This window comes from Homo sapiens, chromosome X (genome assembly GCF_000001405.40).
Source record: "Homo sapiens chromosome X, GRCh38.p14 Primary Assembly".
Taxonomy (NCBI): Eukaryota; Metazoa; Chordata; class Mammalia; order Primates; family Hominidae; genus Homo; species Homo sapiens.
In genome coordinates this window covers 136,011,679-136,038,250 of record NC_000023.11, presented here as the reverse complement: position 1 = coordinate 136,038,250, position 26,572 = coordinate 136,011,679, and the positions used below count along the sequence as shown (strand labels likewise).

At 40.3% G+C, this 26,572-nt stretch overlaps 1 protein-coding gene across 11 annotated transcripts in view; it reads right to left on the bottom strand.

The window, feature by feature from the left end:
- Positions 1-26,572, bottom strand: part of SLC9A6 (solute carrier family 9 member A6) — a 73,433-nt gene that overhangs the window by 9,019 nt on the left and 37,842 nt on the right. For 9 of the 11 annotated variants that reach the window (NM_001400909.1, NM_001400910.1, NM_001400911.1 and 6 more), the window contains 7 exons: positions 25,197-25,302; positions 24,814-24,902; positions 21,493-21,606; positions 15,554-15,665; positions 13,768-13,921; positions 8,089-8,119; positions 4,758-4,837 (listed from right to left, as the gene is read on the bottom strand). In NM_001400909.1, the coding sequence (NP_001387838.1) occupies positions 4,758-4,837; positions 8,089-8,119; positions 13,768-13,921; positions 15,554-15,665; positions 21,493-21,606; positions 24,814-24,902; positions 25,197-25,302 (686 nt within the window). Of the gene's footprint in view, positions 1-4,757; positions 4,838-8,088; positions 8,120-9,275; positions 9,366-13,767; positions 13,922-15,553; positions 15,666-21,492; positions 21,607-24,813; positions 24,903-25,196; positions 25,303-26,572 lie in introns of all 11 variants that reach the window. The other 2 variants (NM_001438742.1, NM_001379110.1) reach the window with 1 other exon arrangement.

The following is a 26,572-nucleotide window of genomic DNA, read 5'->3' as shown; positions in this document are numbered from 1 at the left end:
AGACAAAAACTCATGATAAAAACTCTCAGCAGACTAGAAATAAAAGAGAATGCTCTTAACCTGCTAAAGGATATATCCAAAAACGTATAGCTAACATCGTACTTAATGGTGAAATATTGAAAAATTTCCCTCTGAGGTCAGGAATAAGGTAAGAATGTCCTGTATCATCACTTATATTCACCATTGCACTGAAGAAGTCCCCTAAAAAAGCTGATGTAAAAAGACACAAAAAAGAAATACAGGGATTGGAAAAGAAAAAAAAATAATTAGTCATAGATCATTTAATTATGTATATAGAAGACCAAAAAGTATCTATTAGAAATCATAAGTGAACTTAGCAAGATTGCTGGACCCAAGGTCCATATATAAAATCAAATTTTAGGCTGGGCACAGTGGCTCACGCCTGTAATCCCAGCACTTTGGGAGGCTGAGGCGGGCAGATCACAAGGTCAGGAGATCGAGACCATCCTGGCAAACACGGTGAAACACCATCTCTACCAAAAATACAAAAAATTAGCTGGGCCTGGTGGCGGGCGCCTGTAGTCCCAGCTACTTGGGAGGCTGAGGCAGAAGAATCACTTGAATCCGGGAGGCAGAGGTTGCAGTGAGCCGAGATTGTGCCACTGCACTCCTGCCTGGGCAACAGAGTGAGACTCTGTCTCAATAAATAAATAAATAAATAAATAAATAAATATCCAATTTTCTATCTATATATTTACATCAAACAAGTATAAAACAGAGTAAATACCATTTGCAATAGGATCAAAAACATCAAATACTTAGGAATAAATCTAATGAAAATGTACAAGAGCTGTGTACTGAAAAGTACAAATCGTTAATGAGAGAAATTTTAAAAGACCTAAATGAGTGGAGCAATATGCTGTGTTTATGATATGGAAGTCTCAATATTGTTATGATATCATTTCTCTCCAAATTCATTTATGGATTCAATACAAACCCAATAAACTTGCCAGCAGTTGTGTGTGTGCGTGTGTGTGCACATGCACATGTGTGTAAATTGACAAGCTGTTTCTAAAATTTAAAGGAAAACGCAAAGCACCCAAAATAGCCAAGGCTATACTGGAGAAGAACAAAGCCAGATTTTAATTACTCTACTGGATAGCAAGACTTATTATAAAGTACAGTAATAAAAAGGGTGTGGTATTGATATAAAAATAGAGAAACAGGATTAAAAAAGAGAGTCCAGAAACTTATCCCCACTTATACAGCCAAGTGATTTACAACAAAGATTGTACTGCAATTCAGTGGGGTAAGGATGATATTTTTCAATAAATGGTGCTGCATCAACTGGATATGCATATGGAAAAAAGTAGATCTTCACCCACTATCTCTCACCATGCACAAAAATGAATTTGTGATGGATCAAAGACTTAAATGTGATAGTTAAAGCAATCATACTTCTAGAAAAAAACAGGAAAATATCTTCACGACCTTGGGATATGGAAGATTTCTTAAGACACAGAAAACACTAACCATAAAAGGTGAATAAAATGGACTTCTAGCCTGGGCAACAAAGTGAGAACCTGTCTGTATAAAAAACTTTTAAAAACTAGCTGGATGTGGTGCCATGCACCTGTAGTCCTAGCTATTCAGGAGGCTGAGGCAGGAGGATCACCTGAGCCCAGGAGGTTGGGGCTACAGTGAACTATGATTGCACCACTGCACTCCAGCCTGGGTGAGAGAGTGGGAACTTATCTTAAAAATAAACAAAATGTAATAGACTTCATTAAATTGAAGAACTTCTACTCCTTAAATACAGGATTAAGAAAATGAAAAGGCAAGCTACAGACTGAGAAAAAATACAATAATCAACAACAAAAAACCCAATTCAGGAATATAGAGAGAACTATAAATCAATGAGAGAAAAAAACAACTCAGTTAAACAATGGACGAAAGACTTAGACTTCACAAAAGAGGATATCTAAATGGTCAAAAAACAAGAAAAGGTGCTCAGCCTCTCTGGTCATCAGAGAAATGCAAATTAAACCATATGAGATATCACTACACACCCATCAAAATGGCTAAAATTTAAAAGACTGAAAAATAGAACTCCCTTAATTTGCTGATGGAAATAATCATAAATTCACCAAGTTGGTTAAAACCAATTAAACTGGTTGCAATCACTCTGGAAAACTGGTTGGTTGGCAATGTCTGTTTTAAAGCTAAACAGGCTGGGCAAGTGGCTCACTCCTATAATTCCAGCACTTTGGGAGGCTGAGGTGGGTGGATCACTTGAGTCCCAGAGTTCAAGGCCAGCCTGGGAAACATGGTGAAACCATGTCTCTACATTGAGAAAAAAAAAAAAAAAAATAGCTGGGTGTGATGACATGCACCAGGAGTCCCAGCTACCCAGGAGGCTGTGTTTAGAGGATCACTTGAGCCTGGGAGGCAGAGGTTGCAGTGAGCCAAGATTGTGCCACTGCATTCCAGCCTGGGTGACAGAGCCAGACACTACTGCAAACAAACAAACAAACAAACAAACAAACAAAAAACACGTTAAACATATACTTGTCCTAAATTCCACTCTTTGCACTCCTTGGTATATACCCAAGAGAAATGAGTGCTATGTCCACCAAAAGATATATATTCATGCAGGTTTTTGTAATAGCCAAAAGCTAGAACCAACCCAAATATTTATTAACAGTAGACTGGTTACAAACAAAAATCCTGTAGTATATTCCTACTACAGAGCTCTACCCTACTACAGCAATAAAAAAAGAATGAATTGCTGTTACATGAAACAATAGGGATAAATTACACAGATGTCGAGTGAAAGAAGCAAGACAGAAACGAATACCTAATATATGAATCCATATATATAAAGATCAAAATCAGGTAAAACTAACCCATGTTGATGAAAGTCAGAATCATGGTTACCCCTTTGTGGAGGGGGATAGAGAATGTTCATTTGTATCTTTGTATGGGTGGGAGGCACACAGTTGTTGACACAGGTTGAAATTCATTAAGCTGTACACTTAAGATTCGTGTACTTTATTGTATTCAAGTTATAGCTCAATTATAACAAATCATTTGCCTACACAAATGAACTGAAATCTAAAATAATGAATATTTAATTATATCAGGGCACTAGGTATTAAAATGATCAGGTCTTCATTGAGTAGGACTTAATAGGGCAGTACTGAGTCAAACAAGCCTTGGTGTTTACTTCCATAAAATATACAGAAGAATAAGCTATTATTCTACGCTTTCTCAACATTAGGATCATTGAACTGTTTTATATATTATGTAGAAAATGTACAAAACATTTTATGCAGAAAACTCACTAAAAAATTATTGCTAAATTAGAGGGATGAAAAAGCCCCAAGAGATATGAGAGTGGCTTATATCCAAAACCCTGACAATGGAGCCAAAAGTAATGACATAATCTTTAAAAAATTTTAAGAGCCAGGCTCTCTTTCTCTAATGGGAGTCTTAATACCCCAGATATGCTTGCATTCTTGTTTCCATACAATAATTTAATTTTGAAGTACTTGCAAGCAGTGAATGCAAAAATTACCAAACAGAACATGGTAAGTAGTAGCTTCTAATCATTAAGTGTCAAGTGATTTTTCTTAAATATACAAGGCTTTCATCAGAAAGTTGAAAGCAAGGACAAATTTCTTACACGGTTGTCTCCAATTTGCTTCAATAGAACATAAACCAAGTTTTGAATCATTTACTGATAAATCAGAGCCTGAAAGAACTCCATGGCTGTTTTTGCTAGGTGAATTTTCAAATAAGAAATTAATTTTAATAATGATAAAATGTTTAAAAGGCATGATTTAAAGCAGTGGTCCCCAACTCTTTTGGCACCAGGGACCGGTTTTGTGGAAGACAATTTTTCCATGGACTGGGCTGGGAACAAAACAGTTTTGGGATAAAACTGTTCCACCTCACATCATCAGACATTAGATTCTCATAAGGAGTATGTAACCTAGATCCCTCGCAAGTGCAGTTCACAACAGGGTTCGGGCTCCTGTGAGAATCTAATGCTGCTCATCTGACAGGAGGCGGAGCTCAGGTGGTAATGTTCACTGGCCCATTGCTCACCTCCTGCTGTGTGGCCCGGTTCCCAACAGGCCACGGACCAGTACTGGTCCGCGGCCCGGGAGTTGGGGATCCCTGATTTAAAGAGGTTATAGAATATCAACACTACTCAAAGTACAGCTATGAAACAGACTTACAACAGGGCAAGAAGGAAATCTGGCAAACAAAAACATTAGCTATCTGTGGCATGCTGAACAGAGAGAATCTCCTAGTCTTTGGAAAGGTCAGGGGAAAAAAAAGTGTATTGCTGAACAGCGCAGTATTGAACATTATCGCATTTTGATTTCATTCTCATGCTTTTTCCCAAGCCTTTCCTCTCTTACCCTGCCAAGTACGCAGACAAGAACCAAGAAATACCTTCTGTGGGATTCACTAAATTAGCTAAAGGACAACAAATATTAAAGTTTGCTCAATAAATAAACCTATATATCAAAGAAAGTATGTCATTTGGGCTTTGGTTCCCTTTACACAGCCAGCTTCTGAAATGACCAGTCCCTACGGTTTCATGGGTTTGAAGAGGAATCTGTCTGTGTGGGTTTCCTTTTCCACAGCACTGATGGGGAAAGGGAAGATGAAAGGTAGGTTTTATATTCTGCTCCAGGAAGAGAATAGTCAAAACACTTGTTCCATTAAACTGTAATTATCTATGTCCACATTATCCTTTTTTTTTTTCCCTCAATTAAGGATACTTATGATCAAAGTTGTACCACATCCGGAAAAGCCAAGCACTCTCTGCTTTGGTAGTTCTCCTTTCATTTTCAGGAACACCCTGCAGATAGATAATACAGAAATCAATATCTATACAAAGATATGAACATTTATTTAGAGCCATTCCTTTGGAGAATCAGAAATAGAGGCTACTATATTATAAGACACTCTCCAACAAGGGTAACATTAGAAATTTAATAGTTTGTATATTGCAGCTTTGGAATAGGAAATTGAAATGTTTTTCTGAACACCTCTATTACTCAGGCTGCTTGCTAACTTACGAATCTACTCTCACTTAAAAAATCAATGTGGGGGCCGGGTGTGGTGGCTCATGCCTGTAATCCCAGCACTTTGGGAGGCCGAGGCAGGCAGATCACGAGATCAGGAGTTCGAGACCAGCCTGACCAACATGGTGAAACCCCGTTTCTACTAAAAATACAAAAATTAGCCAGGCGTGGTGGGGCCTGCCTGTAATCCCAGCTACTCAGGAGGCTGAGGCAGGAAGTTCACTTGAACCCGGGAGGTAGAGGTTGCAGTGAGCCGAGATCGTGCCACTGCACTCCAGACTCGGCGACAGAGCGAGACTCCATCTCAAAAAAAAGAAAAAAAATCAATGTGGTATAATTCATGTACTGAACCTGAAAGACTTAACTCTCAATGTAATAATAGCACCTTAGAAAATATCACATCAACATCCCTATATTTGGGAGTCGTCATGGATCTCGAAAATAACTAGCAACTTCAAAGTTGCTACTATGTTCTTGAAACACTAGCAAAATAAAAACAAGTAGGGAAATTCCATGGTAAGCCTGACCAGCTAGGAGGAGAAACTAACATAGCAAGTAGGCGTCTTCTAAAAGTTTCCAAAAATATAAACTGTGTCTTTATTTGTAATATGGTGCAGTCAGCAGTTGGGCAGTTAGGCAATCTGCTTCCAGTCCCAGCTTATTGACATTAAGTAGTTTAAGCAAGTCCCTTTCTCTCTCTGGGCCCGAATTTCTTCATGTATAAAAACATGATGAGGGTTAGAGAATTCTGAAGGCCCTTTCCAGTGCTCATGTTCTATGTTTCCATAATCTTCTTTTCTAAAAGCACAGAATTTAGGCCAGACACAGTGGCTCATGCCTGTAATCCCAACACTTTGGGAAGCCAAGGCGGGTATATCACTTGAGGTCAGGAGTTCGAGTCCAGCCTGACCAATATGGGGAAACCCCGTCTCTACTAAAAACACACAAAAAAATGAGCTGGGCGTGGTGGCAGGCACCTATAGTCTCAGCTACCTGGAAGGGTGAGGCAAGAGAATTGCTTGAATCTGGGAGGTGGAGGTTGCAGTGACCTGAGATCGTGCCACTGCACTCTAGCATGACCGACAGAGTGAAACTTCATCTCAGTAAGTAAGTAAATAAATAAATAAATAAATAAGCAAGCAAGCACAGAGTTTAGATTCTGGGTTTTGGCTTCTTCCTGTCCTTCCTAATGCTCAAAATAAATTTCTCTCTGCTTCAACGTGTCACGTGTCATGTATCAACTTATATATAACACAAAAATGTTTGGAAACACTGTATGGGCTTACGAAAGCTGAAGAACACCTGCAATTCCTTTCACATCATAGAAGTATCTTTCTGTGCCTCCACCTCTTGAAGAACAACATTTCACCACCCCTCACCACATGAACACCTGTATACCCCACCCCCACACACTCCATACTTAGTATAAGGTTCCTCTGTGCTTTCTCGTGGACATTCAAAATATTAAAGGAACAATATAACCAAGACAGCCACAGGGTTGTTTTTTTTTTATTTTGTTTTTGTTTTTCCAGACAGAGTCTCGCTCTGTTGCCCAGGCTGGAGTGCAGTGGCACGATCTCCTGCCTCAGTTTCCTGAGTAGCTGGGACTACAGGCACCCACCACCACGCCCAGCTAATTTCTGTATTTTTAGCAGAGACAGGGTTTCACCATGTTGGCCAGGCTGGTCTCGAATTCCTGACCTCGTGTGATCCACCCGCTTTGGCCTCCCAATATGCTGGGATTACAGGCGTGAGCCACCATGCCCGGCCCAGCCATAGGGTTTTGAAGGTATGGGAAAAAAAACGGTCCTTTGTTCTGTATGTCACGACTGGCACTCACCTACCTGGCTCTCTCCCTGTCACTCCTTTTCCATTTCTCCTCTGTGGTTACACAGGTGACACAGCTGGTGGAGACTTACACAGTGATCGAGCATTTGTCTTTTGAACTGCATGATTAACTTTATTCTTGTTTTCACACAGGGAGGAGGCACTGAGGAATTATCACCCCTTGGACACTACACCAGGAGCCCGGCATCATGGGAATTTATCCAGCTTGGTTTTTACAAGTATGTCAAGCCCATGGAATTCTACTTTAAGGCTCTGACCACAAGAGTCAAGTACTTACTATATCTCATACATACATTCACACTCATCACTCAACAGCTAACAAAATTAGCATTTAGGAAATGAATCTGAGAAATGTTTTTTTTAACCTCACCCTGAAGACAAATATACTGACTGTGGTTTGTTTCTGACAAGAAAAAAATTGTGTTTTGAAAGAGATGCTTTCCATGTTCAAAAATCTAATTTCTGTGATTTCTCATCTAACGTCTGATATGGAGACACATATTCAATGGTGCTCAGAAGCAATTGAAAAACAGATGGAAAATACCAGACAAGGGTAGTCAGTCTAGAGAGGGCAGTGAGTTACAATGCATTCAGTCCAACGGGCTCAAGTTCATAGCAACAACTGAGAAACTGACACAACAGAAGGAAGGAAGCAAGGAAACGTGGCCAAGGCTGAGGGGCAAGGTAAGAAAGTGCGTTTCCCTGAGCAGGCAGGGAAGACTGGTTGAAGATTCAAAAGCTTCTAGGCAGTTCTCTAGGGCAGCTGCTGGTCATTCGATTTGAAAGTTACACAGGAAGAGCAGCTGGAGTGGGGCTTACATCAGAGACAAGCCTTCATGCGCAAACCAAAGTGGAAAAAGCCTCCCCGTGCCAGAGGAGTCACTCGAAAACCCAGGAGTGCTTAAAAGACTGCTCTCCTCTGGGACAAAAGCCCAGGCAGGATGGCCCAGAGACATGAAAGCTGTCACCCTTGATAACCACACACTATGGCACTGTGGCAAACTTGGTTTTGTCTCTATGGAGCAGTGAGAAAAGCCAGGAATGATATCATTCCTCCAAAGCTGAGGCAAAGAGGACAGGATCTAAATAGAAGGTTGAAGTTTATAGTAGATTGTTTTCTTTCCAAATGACTGCACATTTGACAGAAATGCCAGGAACAACAAAAACGCATATTTACCAAGTGTTCTTGGTCTGAATCAACACCAACCCTAAAGGAGAAAGACAAAGAGCAAATGAGATTTTGAAGCCAAAAAATGGTCTATTCACACATATACATTGTCAGGCAACTACTTTTCTCAACACAGAAGCTATGGAATGGTTAATGTTTTCTTGCTTCTCTATAGCTGTTGATGCAGATTTTTGGCTCCTGCCACTTTCCTTAGCAACAGCTTGGATTCTAAGGCAAGCAGGGTGTACCCATGATTCTCTTCCTGCAATCTTACTTACCAGTTTCAGAAAAAAACAGCATTTTTTTTCTCTGAATATAGGTCCACTCGAAGCGGAATCAGGGAGAGCAGCACTGCCCCAGTTGCTAAATAAGAATTACTGGCTAGCTCCAAAAACAAGGATGGCACAGTGCAATTCACTTCGCAGCTCTCATGGCAACATTCTGTTACGATGACTGAAGAGAGGGCCCAATTACAGGTTTTTCATAGGCTAATGGATAGACATTAGCCTTGCTTCTTCACAACTCTTGTTTTATCTGTTTAAAATTCCTGCTTTCTGTATCCCAGGGAAAAGCTTCACTACAAAGTTCTCTGGCTCCTCTCTATTCCCTAAACACGGGCACTCACAAACTCTGTTCATTCCTCCTCTAAACGGTCTCTCAAGTCTTCTCTCCTTTCCATCCCAACTGCTCAAGGGCAGCCCTCATCCTGAGGCTCACGGGCTCTGTCGTGGAAGCTTTTCCAGCTGCCAGGCTCTCCCCGAGAGTCAGCTGTCGCCAGCATAGAGCTCGCTGTGTTACTCCCTTGACAAAGGACTCTGAGAGTGGCTTACAACCCAGAGGGTCAAGTCTGAAGTCTTTTGTGGGGCATTCAAGACTCTCTACAAACTAGCATCCCCACCCCACTCCAACCTACTTTTCCATCCTCATTTCCCATCATTCTCTTCTACATGCCCCATTCTAGCTATACCTGCCTGCTCATCTCCCCAAATCCATCCTCTCCTGTGCCTCCCATGCCTTTGCTCATGCTGTTCTCTCCAGCTGCAATGTGCTTTCCCTCATTTTTTAAGCGATTTTCAAGTTCCAAAGTAACCATTCTACGACCCCTTCAAGCAGAATCATTTTCTCCTCTGTGCATCTGCAGCACTTTCTACAGTCCTTTATTATGATACTTAGCACAGTAGAGTATAGTTATTTACCTGTCAGTCTCCCCAAAAAGACTGTGAGTTCCTTGAGGGTAAAGGCCATGTCTCAATTCATCTCTGTATCCCCAGAGTCTAGCACAGTACCTGACACACAATAGGTGCTCAAATGTTTATTGATTAAATTAACTACTACAGACAACACAGAAAAAATAGCAGTACTAGAAGCTGTAGCAGTAGCATCCCAGAACACAAATAACACTGAAGGGAGAAAATGATGCAAGGCTGCATCTGGAAAGCAAGGGAACCATGGTCAAGGACCTGAAAACAGATTGCTATGACCAGATTCATAATTCAAAGAATGGCTCATTTTTCCTTTGTTAAAATGGCCAGGAGCTGTTTTAACATCTTCTCAGTCACATTAAACTCTAACCACATTTATGCATCTCCAGTGACATCTAGTGGTCTTGAAGATAGCACACTTGTAATAGATGGTACATTATTAGAAGCTAAGTCAATGTAATAAACATTTATAGAGCACTTATTATTTGCCAGGCACTGTACTAGGCACAGGGCATAGAAATGAATTAAACATGGCCCCTGCCCTCAAGGAACTCACAGACTAGTGGGGGAAACCAACACAACTAGGGCATAATCCCTAAGGGCTTCTATCAGGGAGCTCTGGGTTCAAATCTGGACTTGGCTGCTTTCTAGCTGTGTGAACTCAGTCAAGTGAGGCAGTCTTATAAATCATCACTTTATCACCTGGAAAATGGGGCTAATATCCACCACACAGAGTTGCTGCAAGGATTTAATGAGAAAATGTATGAAAAGCTTTTAAAAGAGTATCTGAAACATTAACACTAAGTGGCAGCTCTTATAACAATATTATCACAAGACTGAATAAAATAAGTGCTACAATGAAGAGGCCCAATGTTGCACCAACATAAGAGTGGTTCCGAGGGAAAAGAACAGAGGGAAAAGGAGGTGGCACTTAGCTGTGTCATTTACTGACAGTGAAAGAGCATTCCAGGCAGAGGGAACAGTATGAGCAAAGGCTCAGAGACGCAGAAGTGCAAAGCATGTGTAGTAAATGATAGAAATGTGACTGTCACAAACTATGTGAAAGGACATGGGAATAGCTGGCTGTTTCAAATTTACTGTGGATCCACCGTTCACATGACAACTAAAGTGAACCTTTTACACTGTAAATGACTTCATGTCACTCCCTTGCTTTAAAATCCTCCAGGATTTCCAATTGTATTTTAAAATCCAAATCCCTTACCATGTTCCACAAGACTATACATTAGGGGTCCACAAAGTACAGCCTACAGGCCACATCAGCACCTCTTCTGTTTTTGTAAATAAAGTTTTACTGGGATACAACCACACCAATTGATTTATATATTGTCTAGGGCTGCTTTCACACTAGAGTTGAGTAGCTGAGACAGACCATATGGCCTCCAAAGCCTGATATATTTACTCTCTGGCCCTTGACAGTTAAGTGTGCAGAACCCCTGCTTCCATAGGATCTTGCCAACCTCACTTCCTATCTACCCTTCAGTCACTATACTCCGGCCATGAGAGTTTTTTTCCTGTTCATTCAACAGGCCAAGTTTGTCCCTTCCTCAGGACATTTGTACAACTTGCTCTTCCCTCTGCCTAGACTGCTCTTCTTCCTGATGACTGTTTAACTGGCACCATCTAGTCACGTAGGTAAGACTGAACTCAAACATAACCTCTCAAAGAAACCGTCCCTGGCCTCCTTGTATCAAAAACACCCCCATCCCCAGTCACTATCACAGTACCTTGCCCGATTCCCATCACAGCATTTAATATCATCTGCAGTTATCAGGTTCATTTATGTGTTACTAGCTTATTGTCTGTCTTCTCTCACTAAAGTATGGATGTTATGAGTCGAGGAACCTTTTCTATCTTATTTTGATCACTGTGCTTCTCTAGAGGAGGATTTCTTAACCCTAGCATTACTGACATTCTGGCCTAGATAATTCTCTGTTGGCAGGTGGTGAGGAGCCTGTCCTATGCATTGTAGCATGTTTAGCAGCATCCTTGGCCTCTACTCACTAGATGCCAGCAGAGGCCCCCTCTTCCAGTTGTGACAACCAAAAATGTCTCCAGAAAGTGCCAAATGTCCCTTGGGCGGGGGGCAAAATTCTCCCCAGTTAAGAAGCACTGAGGCTGGGTGAGATGGCTCATGCCTGTAATCCCAATACTTTGGGAGGCTGAGGCGGGCGAATCACTTGAGGCCAGGAGTTTGAGACCAGCCTGGCCAACATGGTGAAACCCCATATCTACTAAAAATACAAAAATTAGCCAGGTGTGGTGGTGCATGCCTGTAATCCCAGCTACTTGGGAGGCTGAGGCAGGAGAATTGCTTGAACCTGGGAGGCGGAGGTTGCAACGAGCTGAGATTGCACCACTGCACTCCAGCCTAAGCGACAGAGCAAGACTCTGTCTCAAAAAAAAAAAAAGAACCACTGAGTTGTAACCTACAGTGCCCGGCACATGGCTGGTGTTCAGTAAATGTTTATTGAATGAATGAATAAAAGGTAATTTGAAATGCTGTGCTAAGAACTTTACAGATATTAGCTCACTGAATCCTTACAACAACCCAAGGAGGTAGGTACTATAACATACATGTTACAGATGAGGAAACCGAGGCTTTAAAAGGTTAAAGAACTTGCCAAAGATCACAGAATTCATCAGTGAAGGGGCAAGAACTCAAAGCCAAGTCTAAGTCTGCATGAATCTTAAACTTTCAGGACTTTGCAGTGCCCTTAAAATTGTACTAGACAAATTTGGGGGGAGGGAAGAAAAGCTTAAAATACAGCCCCTGTTCACGAAGAGGCCAAGAATAATGCCAATAAAACAAGAAGGCAATAAGAAGTAACCTAAGACTATAAGACAATATTATAATTAAGTGACCAACTATGTTACAGGACAGGCACTATGCGGCCAAAGAGCTTTGACAGCTAGTGATGTAGATTAAATTTTGTGTGAGTAGGTACGTTTTTGTCTTTTCTTTTTGCGGGGATGGTAAGCGTAGATATTTTGTTTGGTTTGTTCTTACATTTAATTTTGTTATCCTTAGGACAATGAGGGAAAGTCTTCATCTACAAGCTCTTGAGAAAAGAAAGGAACTGTGTCCTTTCAAAATGTACCATGACCATTATTTGATGAAATTAATTTCTAAAAAAATTAAGAAAGACTGGAGGCTCCTCTGCCTGCCATTTAATTATCCAGATGACCTTGAACAACTCAGAACCTTTCTAAGCCTCTATTTCATCCCTTGTAAAATGGAGTTATCATGTTTGGATAAATATGTAAAATGTACTTAGCACAATGCCCAGCACATAGTAAGTGTTCAATAAATGCCAGGTCCTCCCTAAAGTAATAATTAAGGTTATAAGAACATTATTTTTGTGTATTTTATACTATGCACAATAAAAGCACAGAAATTATAAGAGATTTGAATAGTAAAGAGAAATTAAGACAATAACAACAACATTCAAAGTGTGATTTAGGGCTGGCTGGTTTTTAGAAGTCTTAAAAAAGGTGTAATAGAATTTAAAAAAATGGAGGACAGGATCTATAAAGTGTGAAATACTGTTTTCTCTAATGAGTCCTATGTATTCTGGAAGCTTGGTAGCTCTTAATGTCTATGAAGTTTCAGCCAAACACAGAACTCAAATCTACAAAGGCTTTAGCAGCATAGGCTGCTGTATCCATGGAAACAAATGCAGAACTCTTGAGATACAAGGGAGCTTTCAAATTGAATACATTAACTGGTACACATTCAAGACTAAGACCTCACGATCTCGGCTTTGGATTGTTAGGTTAAAAACAGTGCTGATGAGAAAAATGATAATATCTAGTAGTGATTAGGGTTGGAGTAAACCGCATTGTCTCATACATTGCAGGTGGAAGGCAAATTTTTTATCTGACCTGGTGATATTGATCAAAAGCCTTAAATATATACATATCCTTTTGAGCAAGCAATTTCATTTCTAGACATGCATTCTAAAAAATAATCAAACAAGTACACAGTGGTGTATACATTTAAGAATGTTCACATCGTTAACGGTAATAGTAACAGCAAAATCCTCAAATGGTAATGGTAATAGCAAAATCCTAGAAACAATACAAAAGTCCAACAACAGGGTTTTGATTAAGTAAATCAGGACATATGCAGCCATTAAAGCAATGATGTAAATATATTTACAATGTAAATGTCCATGCTATATTACATTTAAAAATCAGGCTACAAGAGTACCTTCAGTGTTGCCCCTTTTTGTCAAAAATATATATCATGTATAGCAAAAGATCTGGAAAGATATCCCTCAAAGTCTTAACAATGAATTTTTCTTTTGCATATATATTTTCCTTTTTCTGTACTATATATTACATACTTTTTAAAAGGAAAAAATAAAACATTACAGATTCTCCAAAGATTAAAAATTGAAAACAGGCAGAAAAATAAACCAAATTAAAATTTAATCTTAAAATGAGGTCTCTAGTTAGTACTTACCTGATATGCAAGCATGACAGCATTGCAGTGGTGCCACCACCAAATACCCACACGGTAAAAAACACAATCAGAAGCGTGGTGCTGAACATCATTTGCCGTGCATAAGTGGCAGTATCTCGAATGGCCAAGGCAAATGCCATTGCACCACGAAGGCCTACAGGGGAACAGAAAAGGTATTTCTTCAATAACTCATTACCAATGCAAGCTTCATAAATTCAGAGCAAGAAAGCACGTTCTAAAAACTTAGAAGCATGTGAACAAATATGCAGTAAATATTAACATACTTAAATATGTCCAGGCTGTGCATGGTGGCTCACACCTGTAATCCCAGCACTTTGGGAGGCCGAGGTGGGCAGATCACCTGAGGTCAGGAGTTCGAGACCAGCCTGACCAACATGCCGAAACCCCATCTCTACTAAAAATACAAAAATCAGCCAGCCATGATGGCGCATGCCTGTAATCCCAGCTACTTGGGAGGCTGAGGCAGAATTGCTTGAACCAGGGAGGCAGAGGTTACAGTGAGCTGAGATTGTACCACTGCACTCCAACCTGAGTGACAGAGCAAGACTCCATCTCGGAAAAAAAAAAAAAGTACAAACAGAAATAGAATTTGTGTATGTTACTTACTGACATGCATTGATGTTTCAGTAATTTTTTTAAATTCACTTTTCATTTACAAACAGTAAAATTCACTCTTTTTGGTCTATAGCCACATGAATATTGGCAAATTCATAGAGGTGTGTGTGACTACTACTACAATCAAGACACAGAATGGTTTCATCATCCCTCCCCCTGTCAAATTTCTTTGTATTACCCTTTTTTAGTCTAACCTCTTGTCACTCCATCAAACCCCTGGCAACCACTGATGCATTCCCCATCGCTACGACTTTGTCTTTTTGTGAATGTCATATAAAGGGAATCACACAGCAGGTAACCTTTCAAGACTGGCTTCTTGCACTTAGCATAATGCCTCTGAGATTCATCCATGCTGTATGGGTAAATTGTTTGTTCTTTTTAGTGCACAGTAGTATTCCATAGCATGGATGTATCACAGTTTGATTAGCTATTTGACCACTGAGAGACAGACAAGTGGGTTGTTTCCAGGTTTTGGCAATTATGAAAAGAACTGCTATACATTCACCTACTGGTTTTTGTTTGAAAATGACTTCATCCTTATCTTTCTCACTTTGTATGACATAATTCTGAACCAAGGATTTGGAATCAGAATATGAAAAATTCCCACAGAAGGGAATGGGACACTATATATATATATATATATATATATATATATATATATATATATATATATATATATATATACATTTTCTTTTTCTATTCAAGGATGCAACTTCAATGTTTAAAGGAGTATTATAGGCCAGGCGTGGTGCCTCATGCCTATAATCCTAGCACTTTGAAAGGCCAAGGTGGGTGGATTACTTGAGGTCAGGAGTTCGTGACCAGCCTGGCCAACATGGCGAAACCCCATCTCTACTAAAAATACAAAAATTAGCCAGGCATATTGGTGCATGCCTTGTAATCCCAGCTACTTGGGAGGCTGAGGCACGAGAATTGCTTGAACCTGGGAGGCAGAGGTTGCAGTGAGCCAAGATCGTGCCACTGCACTACAGCCTGGGCGACAGAGTGAAACAGTGTCTCTAAATAAATAAATAATATAAAAATAAAGGAGTATTATATGACCAGCATAACATCTCAGTGTTACATCAAGCTGGCACACGCATTGTGAATGGTTGCTTGAAGTGGGCAAGAGAAGAAAGTTACAACTTACCAGCAAACATCATCATGTGTTGAAAATTTGATCCAATCTTACTTCTTCTACCCAAATTAAGTAAGAGGGACAAGGGGTAAATATTGGCAGCTCTTCCCAAGAAAATAGCAACCTAAAATTATTAATAGGTTAAGGATCATTTCATTTTACTATTAATATTATTTAGACTATACACTCAAGATGGTGAAAGACTATTTTAGGGAACTCAGTTTCTAACACACAGTCTCTTGGTTCCATTGTCTAACATAACACTGTCCAACAGAACTTTCTGCAATGATGGAAATTTTCTATATCTGAACTGTCCAATTTGGTGAGCACCTGAAATGTGGCTAGAGTGATCAAGGAACTGAAAATTTATTTCATTTTAATTACTTCAAATTAAAATAATCACATTTGGCTAGTTGCTACCAAATCAGACAGAGCAAGTGTAACATGCAGGAAATTTACTAGATTAAGAGAAACACGTTTAAAAGCAGTTTCTTTACTATACTTTTAAGATTATTAATAGAATAGGTTAATTCACTTTCATTGTCAGTGTTGGTAGGAAGAAGAGTAATACTGAGAAAACTTCCCCTTCCTTCCTCAGAACAAAGAAAAGGGCAGCTGAATCACCACCTCACAGCACTAAAATGGCTACCAGTCCCACTGTACTCCACTAAGTTTATACTTCCAACTTGCTTCAAAGGGAAAGTTTAATGTGAATTCAGATTGGTTTTAACTAGAAACCAATTTTAGTATCTTTTTCTCCAGTTTGCTGTCTATGGGACTCCTGCTTTATGATGGCAATTTTTATTTCAGGAGTCACGATACAGTCTCCATCCCATTTCCTGAGAAAAATATAAGGGAAAATCTAAGATTAAAAACAGAACAAGGCCAGACATGGTGGCTCACACTTGTAATCCCAGCATTTTGGGAGACCGGGGCGGGAGGATAGCTTGAGGCCAGGAGTTCAAGACCAGCCTGGCCATCATGGCAAAAACCTGTCTCTATTAAAAATACAAAAATGAGCCGGGTGTGGTGGTGTACACCTGTAATCCCAGCTACTCTGGTGGCTGAGGCACGAGAATTGCTTGAACCCAGGAGATGGAGGCTGCAGTGAGCTGAGATCGTGCCACTGCACTCCAGCCTGGGTGACAAGAGCGAGACCCTGTCTCAAAACAAACAAGGTAGGGGGAATGGTGTTGGTCTAAGTAACTTTGGAAAACAGAAGAATCTGTAAGACTAAAGACAGAAGACACTGCACAAAAGCATTCTATGCTCATGACAAAGCTGTTTCCCATGGGAACACTGGTTAACAATTCTGAAACTATTATACATGTATACTGAAACTGAACAATTAGGTAAATGGATGGCAAGTGGTGACAACAAGGTTTCTTACTGTTAGAATGGGAGTTTACAGTTCAGAAAGAGGAGGAGGCCAGAATCATCCATGTGGTAATGAATTAAAGTTGGAGACATCAGTATGAACCCATATTGAGCTTAACAGAGATACAGATGGTTATATGCAGAAATATGTATAGATATATGTGTATATATGAGTTAGTATATATATCTACATATATGGATATATAGATATATACATATCTAACTCCTTGCTCTGTCAGCTGAGAGAGCCTAGAAGCAATCTGTCAGCTGAGACGGCCTAGAAGCAAAGACACCAAGTAACACTGAGCACACCTAGTGCTCAGATTTTGGTTTCTAATACTATTCTCCAATAAAAGGAACCAGGACTTCTTGGAGAAATGGCCAATTCTTGGGCTGAGCCAGAACAGATACAAGATGAGCCTGAAGCATCTTATAGTTCCAGGGAGTAAGGAAGTACTCAAAAAAAAAAAATTAAAAACAATGATGAAGATAAAAATTAAAAACAATGATGAGGATATATCAAAGGCACACAGGAGAGCCTGCCAAAAGAGCTCTCAATGGCCAAGCTGGAACAGTTTCAGCAAGAAAATAAAAAAGTTGTATTATAACTCAAAGTATAAAATAAATATCAGTGAATCCATATTGATATAAATAAATGACTGGGCTGGGTGTGGTGGCTCACGCCTGTAATTCCAGCACTTTGGGAGGCTGAGAGGCGCAGATCACTTGAGGTCAGGAGTTCAAGACCAGAGTGGCCAACATGGCGAAACCCTGCCTCTACTGAAAATATAAAAATTAGCCGGGCGTGGTGGCGCATGCCTGTAATCTCAGATCATGCCTGTAATCTCAGCTACTCAGGAGGATGAGACAGGAAAATCGCCTGGACCCGGGAGGCGGAGGTTGCAGTAGGCTGAGATCATGCCATTGCACTCCAGTCTGGGCAACAAGAGTGAAATTCTGTCTCAAAAAAAAAAGTAATAATAATTAAAAAATGACTGAATAAAACAATAAATGAGGAAGAATAGATAAATCTCCTGTGTGAAAAATTCCAAATAATTTTGCTGATACTCTGTCCTCAAGGAGGTGGAACCTAACTCCCCATTCCTCAATCCTTGCTCATAGCAACTTCCTTCCACGCAGTACAACATGGCGGGGGAAGGGGGGGGAATGTGTAACTTTATAATGGATAAATCTGACAAACACTATCTCAACCAAGTGATTAAGACTATCGTCAACATTATTAAGTATATACCCTTCATATAATGTGATGAGAATGGCATTTTACCTCTGTGGTCTTCCTCCCAAAGAACATGTAACTCCAGTCTAATCATGGGGAAAATATCAGACAAGTTCCAACTGCAGGACATTCTACAAAACACATGGCTAGTACCCCTCAACACTGTCAAGGGTCACCAAAAACAATGAACACATATGAGAAACTGTCACAGTCAGGCAGAGCCTAAGGGGACATGACAACTAAATGTAATGTGGTATCCTGGATGGGACCCTGGAATAGAAAAAGGACATTAGGGAAAAACTATGGGAATCAGAATAAAGTTCAAACGTTAGTTAGTAATATCAATATTAGTTCATTCACTGTGACAAATGTACCATGCTAATATGTTAATAATAGGGGAAACTGAGTGCGGGGCATATGAGAACTTTCTGTATTATCTTCACAATTTTTCTGTAAACCTAAAACTATTCTAAAATCAAACATTTATTTTAAAAAGTGATTCCCTAAAAAGAAAAGAAAATGTAACCACGAAACATGTGGGCCAACGTGGCAGTGACTGCTAGTTCTCCCCAACATCTGTTCTTGCTTTCTTCCTTGGTAGTTGGCACTCCTCCCTTTCATCTTTATGCAGCCACCCAGATAAAGTATATAACTCCTAGCCTCCCTTGTGAGTAGGTGTAATCAATGATGTTAAGTGGAAGGGACGTGTGCACATTCTGGGTCAAGCCCTTCAAGGCAACGGGCAGACAGGGGTGAGCCACGTTGGATCACAAGAACAACAGCAAGTCCCTAAGGATGTTAGCAACAATATTGCTTCAGTCCCTGATGACCCTATGCAGCAGAACTGCCATACCAGTTCAGATTTTTAGATAAGAAAGAAATTTCTATGTTGTTTAAACCTGGATTAGTTTGAGTCTTTTCACATGAAACCAACCTATGTCCTAACTAACATAGCCAGAAATAGAGCAACTCTCTCCTGTTACGAGGCCATTTTCATGGTAGGATTTTGTATTGAGGAATTTTAATTCCTAACAGACTCAGAAACCTACAGAGAATATTTAGCTTTGTTTCCAGACTAAGTATAGTGGATCGAGCCACTTTACTGCTCCAAATTTTCTCCAAGACTAGCAGGACATTAAGTTACTGATCTCATGGTTATCTTTCAGCTAAGAACTTCTCTTATTAACAGTACTTTATCTTTTTTGCCTAAAGTTCATTCACAGACTAAGGCTCTGCAGAATAGTATTTCAGTAATACTTCGCTTTCTAACAGAGATCCTATCTAGAGTTTTAATTAAAAAAAAAAAAACTTCCACTAATCTCTTTGGCAGAATCTTCATTCTGATGTGAGGTTTTAAAATATTTCTTTTAAAAATTCCTTATTCAAACATTCCCACTGACCACAATTGCTCCTTCCATATTTTGTGTTCAACTATCCCACTCTGATCATTCCTCCATAGCACTGGGACCTTCAGTCCAAAGATCCCTATATTCTTTCCTTAAACAATGTCTTCTTTCCTCACTTCCCTTCTTATCATCATGTTAATAACACCTTTTAATGTTAAACATTAAATGAAGTGTTTAGAGTGCATCAGTCATGTAATAACACTATGATCTCTTGTCCTTCTGTTTTCATTGCACCCACTTGAAAAAACTCCAAACCTGGAAGGAGCCAACTATCTCTTTTTTCCATGCTTACAGTAAGTACTGCTGGACAAACTCATTCAATGGGGCAGATTGGTTCTACTGCTAATTCCTATTTCTCAAACACAATGGATCCCTAGTACTTCTTAGCAGTCCTGTTGAGTTTCTTTGGTCAACTTATTCTCCCACTCTCTACAACAACTATTTCACGAACCTCCATCTTCCTCAAAATCCCTATGATCTGTGTAAGCCATCCCCCAAGATAGTCCCTAACCATCCCTGCCTCTTAGTATTCACACCCTTGTGTAGTCCCCACCCACACTGTACCAGGTTGGTCTGTATAACCAACAGAATATTATGGAAGTGACGCTGGTATGCCTCTTCAAAGATTAGGTTACAAAAGGCACTTCGGCTTTCATTTTAGGGCTCTCTCAGCTCACTCAGTTTGGGGGAAGAAGCCATGTTGTAAGCTGCCCTATGGAGATATCCACGTGAAGAATAGAAGCCTCTTGCTGACAGTGATGTGAGTTGAGTGAGCTTGCAGTGGATTCCCTGGCCCTAGTCAAGTCTTGAGAAGGTGCAGTCCCAGCCAAGAGCACAACTGCGACCTCTTAAGAGATCCTGGAGCCAGAATCACCCAGATGAGCTGCTCCAGGATTCCTGACCCTCAGAAACTGTGTGAGATAATAACTGTCTGTTGTTTTAAGCTGCTAAATTTAAGGTAATTTGTTACACAATAGATAACTCCCTATCTTACTCTCAGCAGATGATCTCACCTCCTACTTAACAGATAAACATAGAAGCCATCAGAGAGGATGGCTCCATCTTACAAATGTGCCTTCATTTCTACATACCCTATCCTCTCCTGTAGTCATGGTGGAGTTGTCTCTCCTTCCAGTGAAGGCAAAATTTCTCTCTACATGCTTTGGATTTCATTCCTGCCTTCTCAAGAGGCTTTCACTATTGCCTCCTCTCTTTCATATACTCAGTTTCTTCCTTCCAACTGTTTTTTGGTTTTTTGGTTTTTTTTTTTTTGAGACAGGGTCTCCCTTTGTCACCCAGTCTGGACTGCAGTGACCCAATCACAGCTCACTGCAGCCTCAAACTCCTAGGCTCAAGGGATCCTTCCACCTTACCCTCCCAAGTAGCTTAGACTACAGGCATGAACCACCATACCTGGCTAGTTTTTAAAATTTTGTTTGTAAAGATGGGGTCTTGCTACATTGCCCAGGTTGGGGTTTTTATTTTATAAGACTCTTTGTATATATATGAGAGAAAGAGAGAGGGAGAGAGAGGGGTTGGGGGAGGGAGAGAAAGAGAAAGAAAGTGGCCTCATTCAACGTTTCCTTATCTTTCGCCTTCTGCCCTGTGGCATAGACTGCTAACTGCTCCCCAGTATCCAACCTCTCCTTCCCTGTAGTAATAAAGGGAAAACACTTATCTTTTGGGGTTGGCAGAACAGTGGGACACTTGTCTGTCATTTTAATCTGTCAACATTATTTGTGCAATAACCACAAATTGAAATAGAATATAATAAAATAAATAGACTAGAAAAAAGAGCTGGAATCCTTATTTGTTTTACTCAGAGGAAAACTGTATATATTTAAATGTATTCTTATGAACCACATACTCAAAACCCACATGAAAATCTCAATTAAAAATATTTTCAAAATAAAACACATAATAAAGGATACAAATGCTCCTACTACAAATGTTGGGTTAAAGACATGGTTCTGGAAGGTGAACAGTGTCAGCCCCATGTAGGAGAAGATGAAATTCTCTGCCAAGAAATTGAGAAGCTCAAACAACTGAAACGAAATTGTAAAAGATTAGTCCAGCAAATAAAGTTACATAATTTGAAAGCATGAGTATTACTAAGATATTAAAACAGACACTCATATATATAAACTTCATGCATACACACAAAATATGTGGTTCAGAAGGGAGCAAATGTGGAGACGACATTTCTAGTCCTGCAGAAAAAGCCAGGAATGTTGCCCCCTCATTTCCCCTAACAGCTTCCCTTCTTCAAAGCCCCATCTTCAATTATTCCTCTCCTCTTCCTCCAAACTGTCAGTTTTTTTTAATGTTCCTGTGTCCCTGCTACTGCCTTAGTCAAACTTTCATCACTTCCTACCCATAATGATGAGAAAGGACCTCTAACCATCCCTCATCCTCCAGCTCCCCCAAACCAATGAATCTCTAAAACTGATAGTTTCAAGATACTTTCCTCTTGCAAGCTATAAGATTCATTTCAACTTTCTGATCCTAGCATAGAGTGCTTCGTGAGAACTCTCGTACTCCCAGCTTGCCCTGTGACTTCACTTTTTGCGTGGGTCTTCCTCTCGTATAGGGAGTAAGCGTCCTACAGATAGGGGCTTCCACATTGTGGAAGAGATCGATCTGTAGGATAGCAGAACTATCTGTGGGGGGAACTAAACCCTGCTGCCCGCCTGCCCCATCCCATTCACATCATAGCCTTGGCAATGGTATATGATACTTGCTGAATGAAGTTAAGGCCCTTCATAATCTCGTGTCCCTCTGGCCACCAGAGTTATCTACAATGAGCCCTCTGACACATAACAGAATAGTGGTTAAGAACATGGGCTTAAGAATGAAAATGCTTAGGCTTGAGCCCTGTCTTCCCCTTTGCTGGCTGTGTGGCTTTGGGCAAATTAGTTAATCTCTTTAAACCAGGGTTGCCTTATTACCCAAAAATGAGAATAAAAATTAAAATAAGTAAGCGTATATTTATTTTTCTTTAAATGATTTAATATGCTATTATTACTACTTATTTATACTAATGATAACAGCTATACCTTTTTCAGTTTTTACCGTGTGTCTGATACTATACTAAGGACTTCATATGCATTATCTCGTTTTAATCCCACAAAAACTCAGTGAGGTAGGTATTATTATTATCTCCATTTTCAAAGATGGCAAAACTGAAGCACAGAGAAGTTATGGAACTTCCTCCTGGTCACACAGCCAGCAAGTAGTAGAACCAGGATTTAAAACAATACAGTGACTCCAGAGTCCCAGCTTTACTTTGCAACATAGGGATCGGCAAACTTTCCCATGAATGGCCAGAGAGTAAACATGAGAGGATTTGCAGGCCAAGAAGTCTCTGTCACAACTACTTCACTCTGCCAGTGAAGCACAAAAGCAGCCATAGACTATATATTTTAAAAAATGGGTGTGGCTGTGTGCCAAGAAAATTTTATTGGTGGACATGGAAATGTGAATTTCATATAACTGTCATGGGTCACAACATATTCTTCTTTTGATCTTTTGCCAACCAATTAAAAATGGATGGAAAGAAAACCATGCTTAGCTCACTGGCAAGGGCCGGATGTGGCCGGAGGGCTGGAGTCCGCCACCCTCTGCTCTACACTTTACTGCCTTCTTTTTATTCCTGCCTTTATCTGTACTGCCTCCCCTAGGCCTTCCTAAATCTTCCCCATCCTTCTAAGGGTACTGTTTCTTCTAGGATACTTTCCAGATCCTCAAGCCTCAAACCATTTCCCCTACTTCTCTGATGTCTTCTATGACATATAATCTGAAGTACATAATCTAGGATTCCTATTCCTCATATTTCTTAAATGTACATAAGCTTCATATCATATCACCAACAACACTGGAAGCTCTTACCCTGTTCTAGTTTTTTGTTGTTTGTTTGTTTGTTCTTGAGACAGAGTCTCGCTCTGTCATCCAGGCTGGAGTGCAGTGGCACGATCTCAGCTCACTGCAACCTCCGCCTTCCGGGTTCAAGCGATTCTTCTACCTCAGCCTCCTGAGTAGCTGGGACTACAGGCGCAAGCCACTACATCCGGCTAATTTTTGTATTTTTAGTAGAGACGGGGTTTCACCATGTTGGCCAGGCTGGTCTCGAACTTCTGACCTCGGGTGATCCGCCCGCTTTGGCCTCCCAAAATGCTGGGATTACAGGCGTGAGCCACAGCGCCCGGCCTGTTCTTGTTTTTTATTCCCTTCCCACGACCTGGAAAAATGCTGACTCCCCTCCCCCACCGCCCCCTGCCAGCTGATTTTCTTCTCTTTACTTATTGCACTGAATTAATTTGTAAAAAGGATTTGTAGCCCTAATGTATACACTTGGGGGAAAAAGCCTAATCTCTTTTGAGGGGCTGGGGAAAAGCATAGGTCATAAACTTGATTTGTGGCTCTAGCCGGAAGAAGAAATACTGTTGCTCCTGCTTTTAGCACCACTCCTTTTCAGGCGAATCCCACAACCTTCTTGTCATTTGGCAAAATTTAAACCTTCTGTTTCTCACTATAGCCATAATCAAGTATGCACCTATTTCTATTCCAGACATTACACTTTTTTCATGTATTTGTCCCACATACCTCCTAAGACTGGAAAAATTGTATTCCTATCTCCTTTATAATTCCCTTCAGATACCCTGCACAACTGATCATTCAGTACCAAATAAAACCAGACCACTGACTAGTCCCCTGACATTCCTGGAAACATAGTAGCTTTGCAGCACCTGAGCGGACTGAAGGAAGTTTATCTTCTCTTAGTAGGTCTAATCAGATCAGAAGCTAATCTTACCTATGTCATGTCTTAGAAGGTCTAGTAATATCAGAAGTTAATTTTCTTTATGTCATCTCTTAGTAGGTCTGGTCAGATCAGAAGTTAACCTTATCTACGTCACACAGCAGTAGTTCAAGTAAAACCAGAGTGAGCTTCCAAAACATTCCCCTTAAAAGCCATTAAATTGGGAAAACACTGAGAAAAAGGGAAGCTACTTCACTGGTTATTGAAGCCACAATAGTAACAGTCTCTGGCTATTCTGCTGATCTATTTCCACCCTAAATGCTGTCATTCTTCATTTTGCCAATCCCACCTACTTTTAGAGTCAAAGGAAGAGGAGCCAAAATGAGTAGATAGCATCTTGAACAGATCAAAGACTATTTTTTTTTTTTAGTAAAAAAGACTTCTATTTTGCTGAAAGAAGGAAAAGCCTATTCACAAACTATAAAGTTCCTCTTACCTGTTTAGTTCTATGCTGAGACTCCGTGGACAAATTATTATACGTATAATGTGCTTGTGTGATGCCACAAAACAATACTGCAACTACACCTATAAAGACAACAAATTCCAAGTTCACATAAAAGGATGGTTCCCACCTTTTATACTGAGGTTCTTTCTTCACAGTAGATTATAGGCTTTGTCTGGAAATTCTCATTTGTGACTTACTTTGTTAAGAGGAACCACTTCCACTGAAAATTTTTTTTTATGTTCTAAAGCAACAACCTAAATCCCAACCACAATAAGTATGTTCAAATACTAACGGAGCTGATCCACTTGGAGCAAAATTGACTGGCAAAGTCACTCCTTTTAAGGGTTGACAATCAAAGGGAGCAAGTCACCTACCTGTGAAGCCCCATGCTTCAGCCAAGAGGAAGGTACTCCAGGACATCAAGAAGAACAGGCCTGTCTCCAACAACTGGAACTCCCGTAATTTGGTGAACTTTGTCACGTAAGACTGTTAAGGCTAGTAATGAGATCTTGTAACACAAAAGTGTGACTAGAAAAAATAACAGTTTAAGCAAGGCAACCATGAAAGAAAGGTTCTCTAGCTTCTCTAACACAGAAATCTCAGAATAAGGTACCACCAGAATAGGGAGACTTTTAAAATGAGCATCTTACTGAGGAGTCAGCTGCCTTCCCTTCAGTGAGGAAGCCTTACGGCTTAGCCACTCCAATTGTTTCACGGGTATCACACACCTTGCCAGAAACCATGCAGTAAAGGATAGATAGAGACGGGAGTAACAGATCAGATCTATAACATGCCACCTCTATTAATCTGAGACCCAAAGCTAGACAGCTTCCATAATTGTAGCAATTTACATTTATAAAAATACATAATTTCCAAGAGATTTTACACGAATTTGATCCTCTACCACTTCTATGATATAGAGCATTCATTCCATGATGAAGAAATTGAGGCACTTCACTGCTTTATACTAGTTTAACAAGTATTTGTTAGCTGACAGTGGAAGGGCCTGTGCCAAGTTACGACCAATCTCAGGCTAGAATCTAGAGTCATTTCTACAACTAGGCACTACAACAAAATGATTAACAAGATATACTTTCTACCCTCAAGGAACTTGTAATGGGGAAGAGATACTATCACTCTTGGCATCACCTTCAGAACTCTTTTTACTGCTGCTTTATGCCTCAGTTCACTTATAAAAAGCCATAAAAGAAGCCTCTTCCAGCACAAGGCTGAAGTATACCAAACTAAGAAGTCCTTGACAAAGAATAACGTATCTGTTTTATACAAGTATCATAGAAGTTTTAGAGCTGGAAACTTTTTTGTTTTGTTTTGTTTTTTTGAGACGGAGTCTCGCACTGTCGCCCAGGCTGGAGTGCAGTGGCACCATCTCGGCTCACTGCAAGCTCCGCCTCCTGGGTTCATGCCATTCTCCCGCTTCAGCCTCCCGAGTAGCTGGGACTACAGGCGCCCACCACCATGCCCGGCTAATTTTTTGAATTTTTAGTAGAGACGGGGTTTCACCGTGTTGGCCAGGATGGTCTCGATCTCCCGACCTTGTGATCCGCCCGCCATGGCCTCCCAAAGTGCTAGGATTACAGGCACGAGCCACTGCACCAGGCCAGAGCTGGAAACTCTTTAGACATCATCTAGTCCCACTCCTCTTTCCTACCGTCCCCACCCTCCAATTTCCTACACTGAGATCCAAAGAGGTGAAGTGTCAAAGCTTCTAGCATGTTTGTGTCTGCCACTA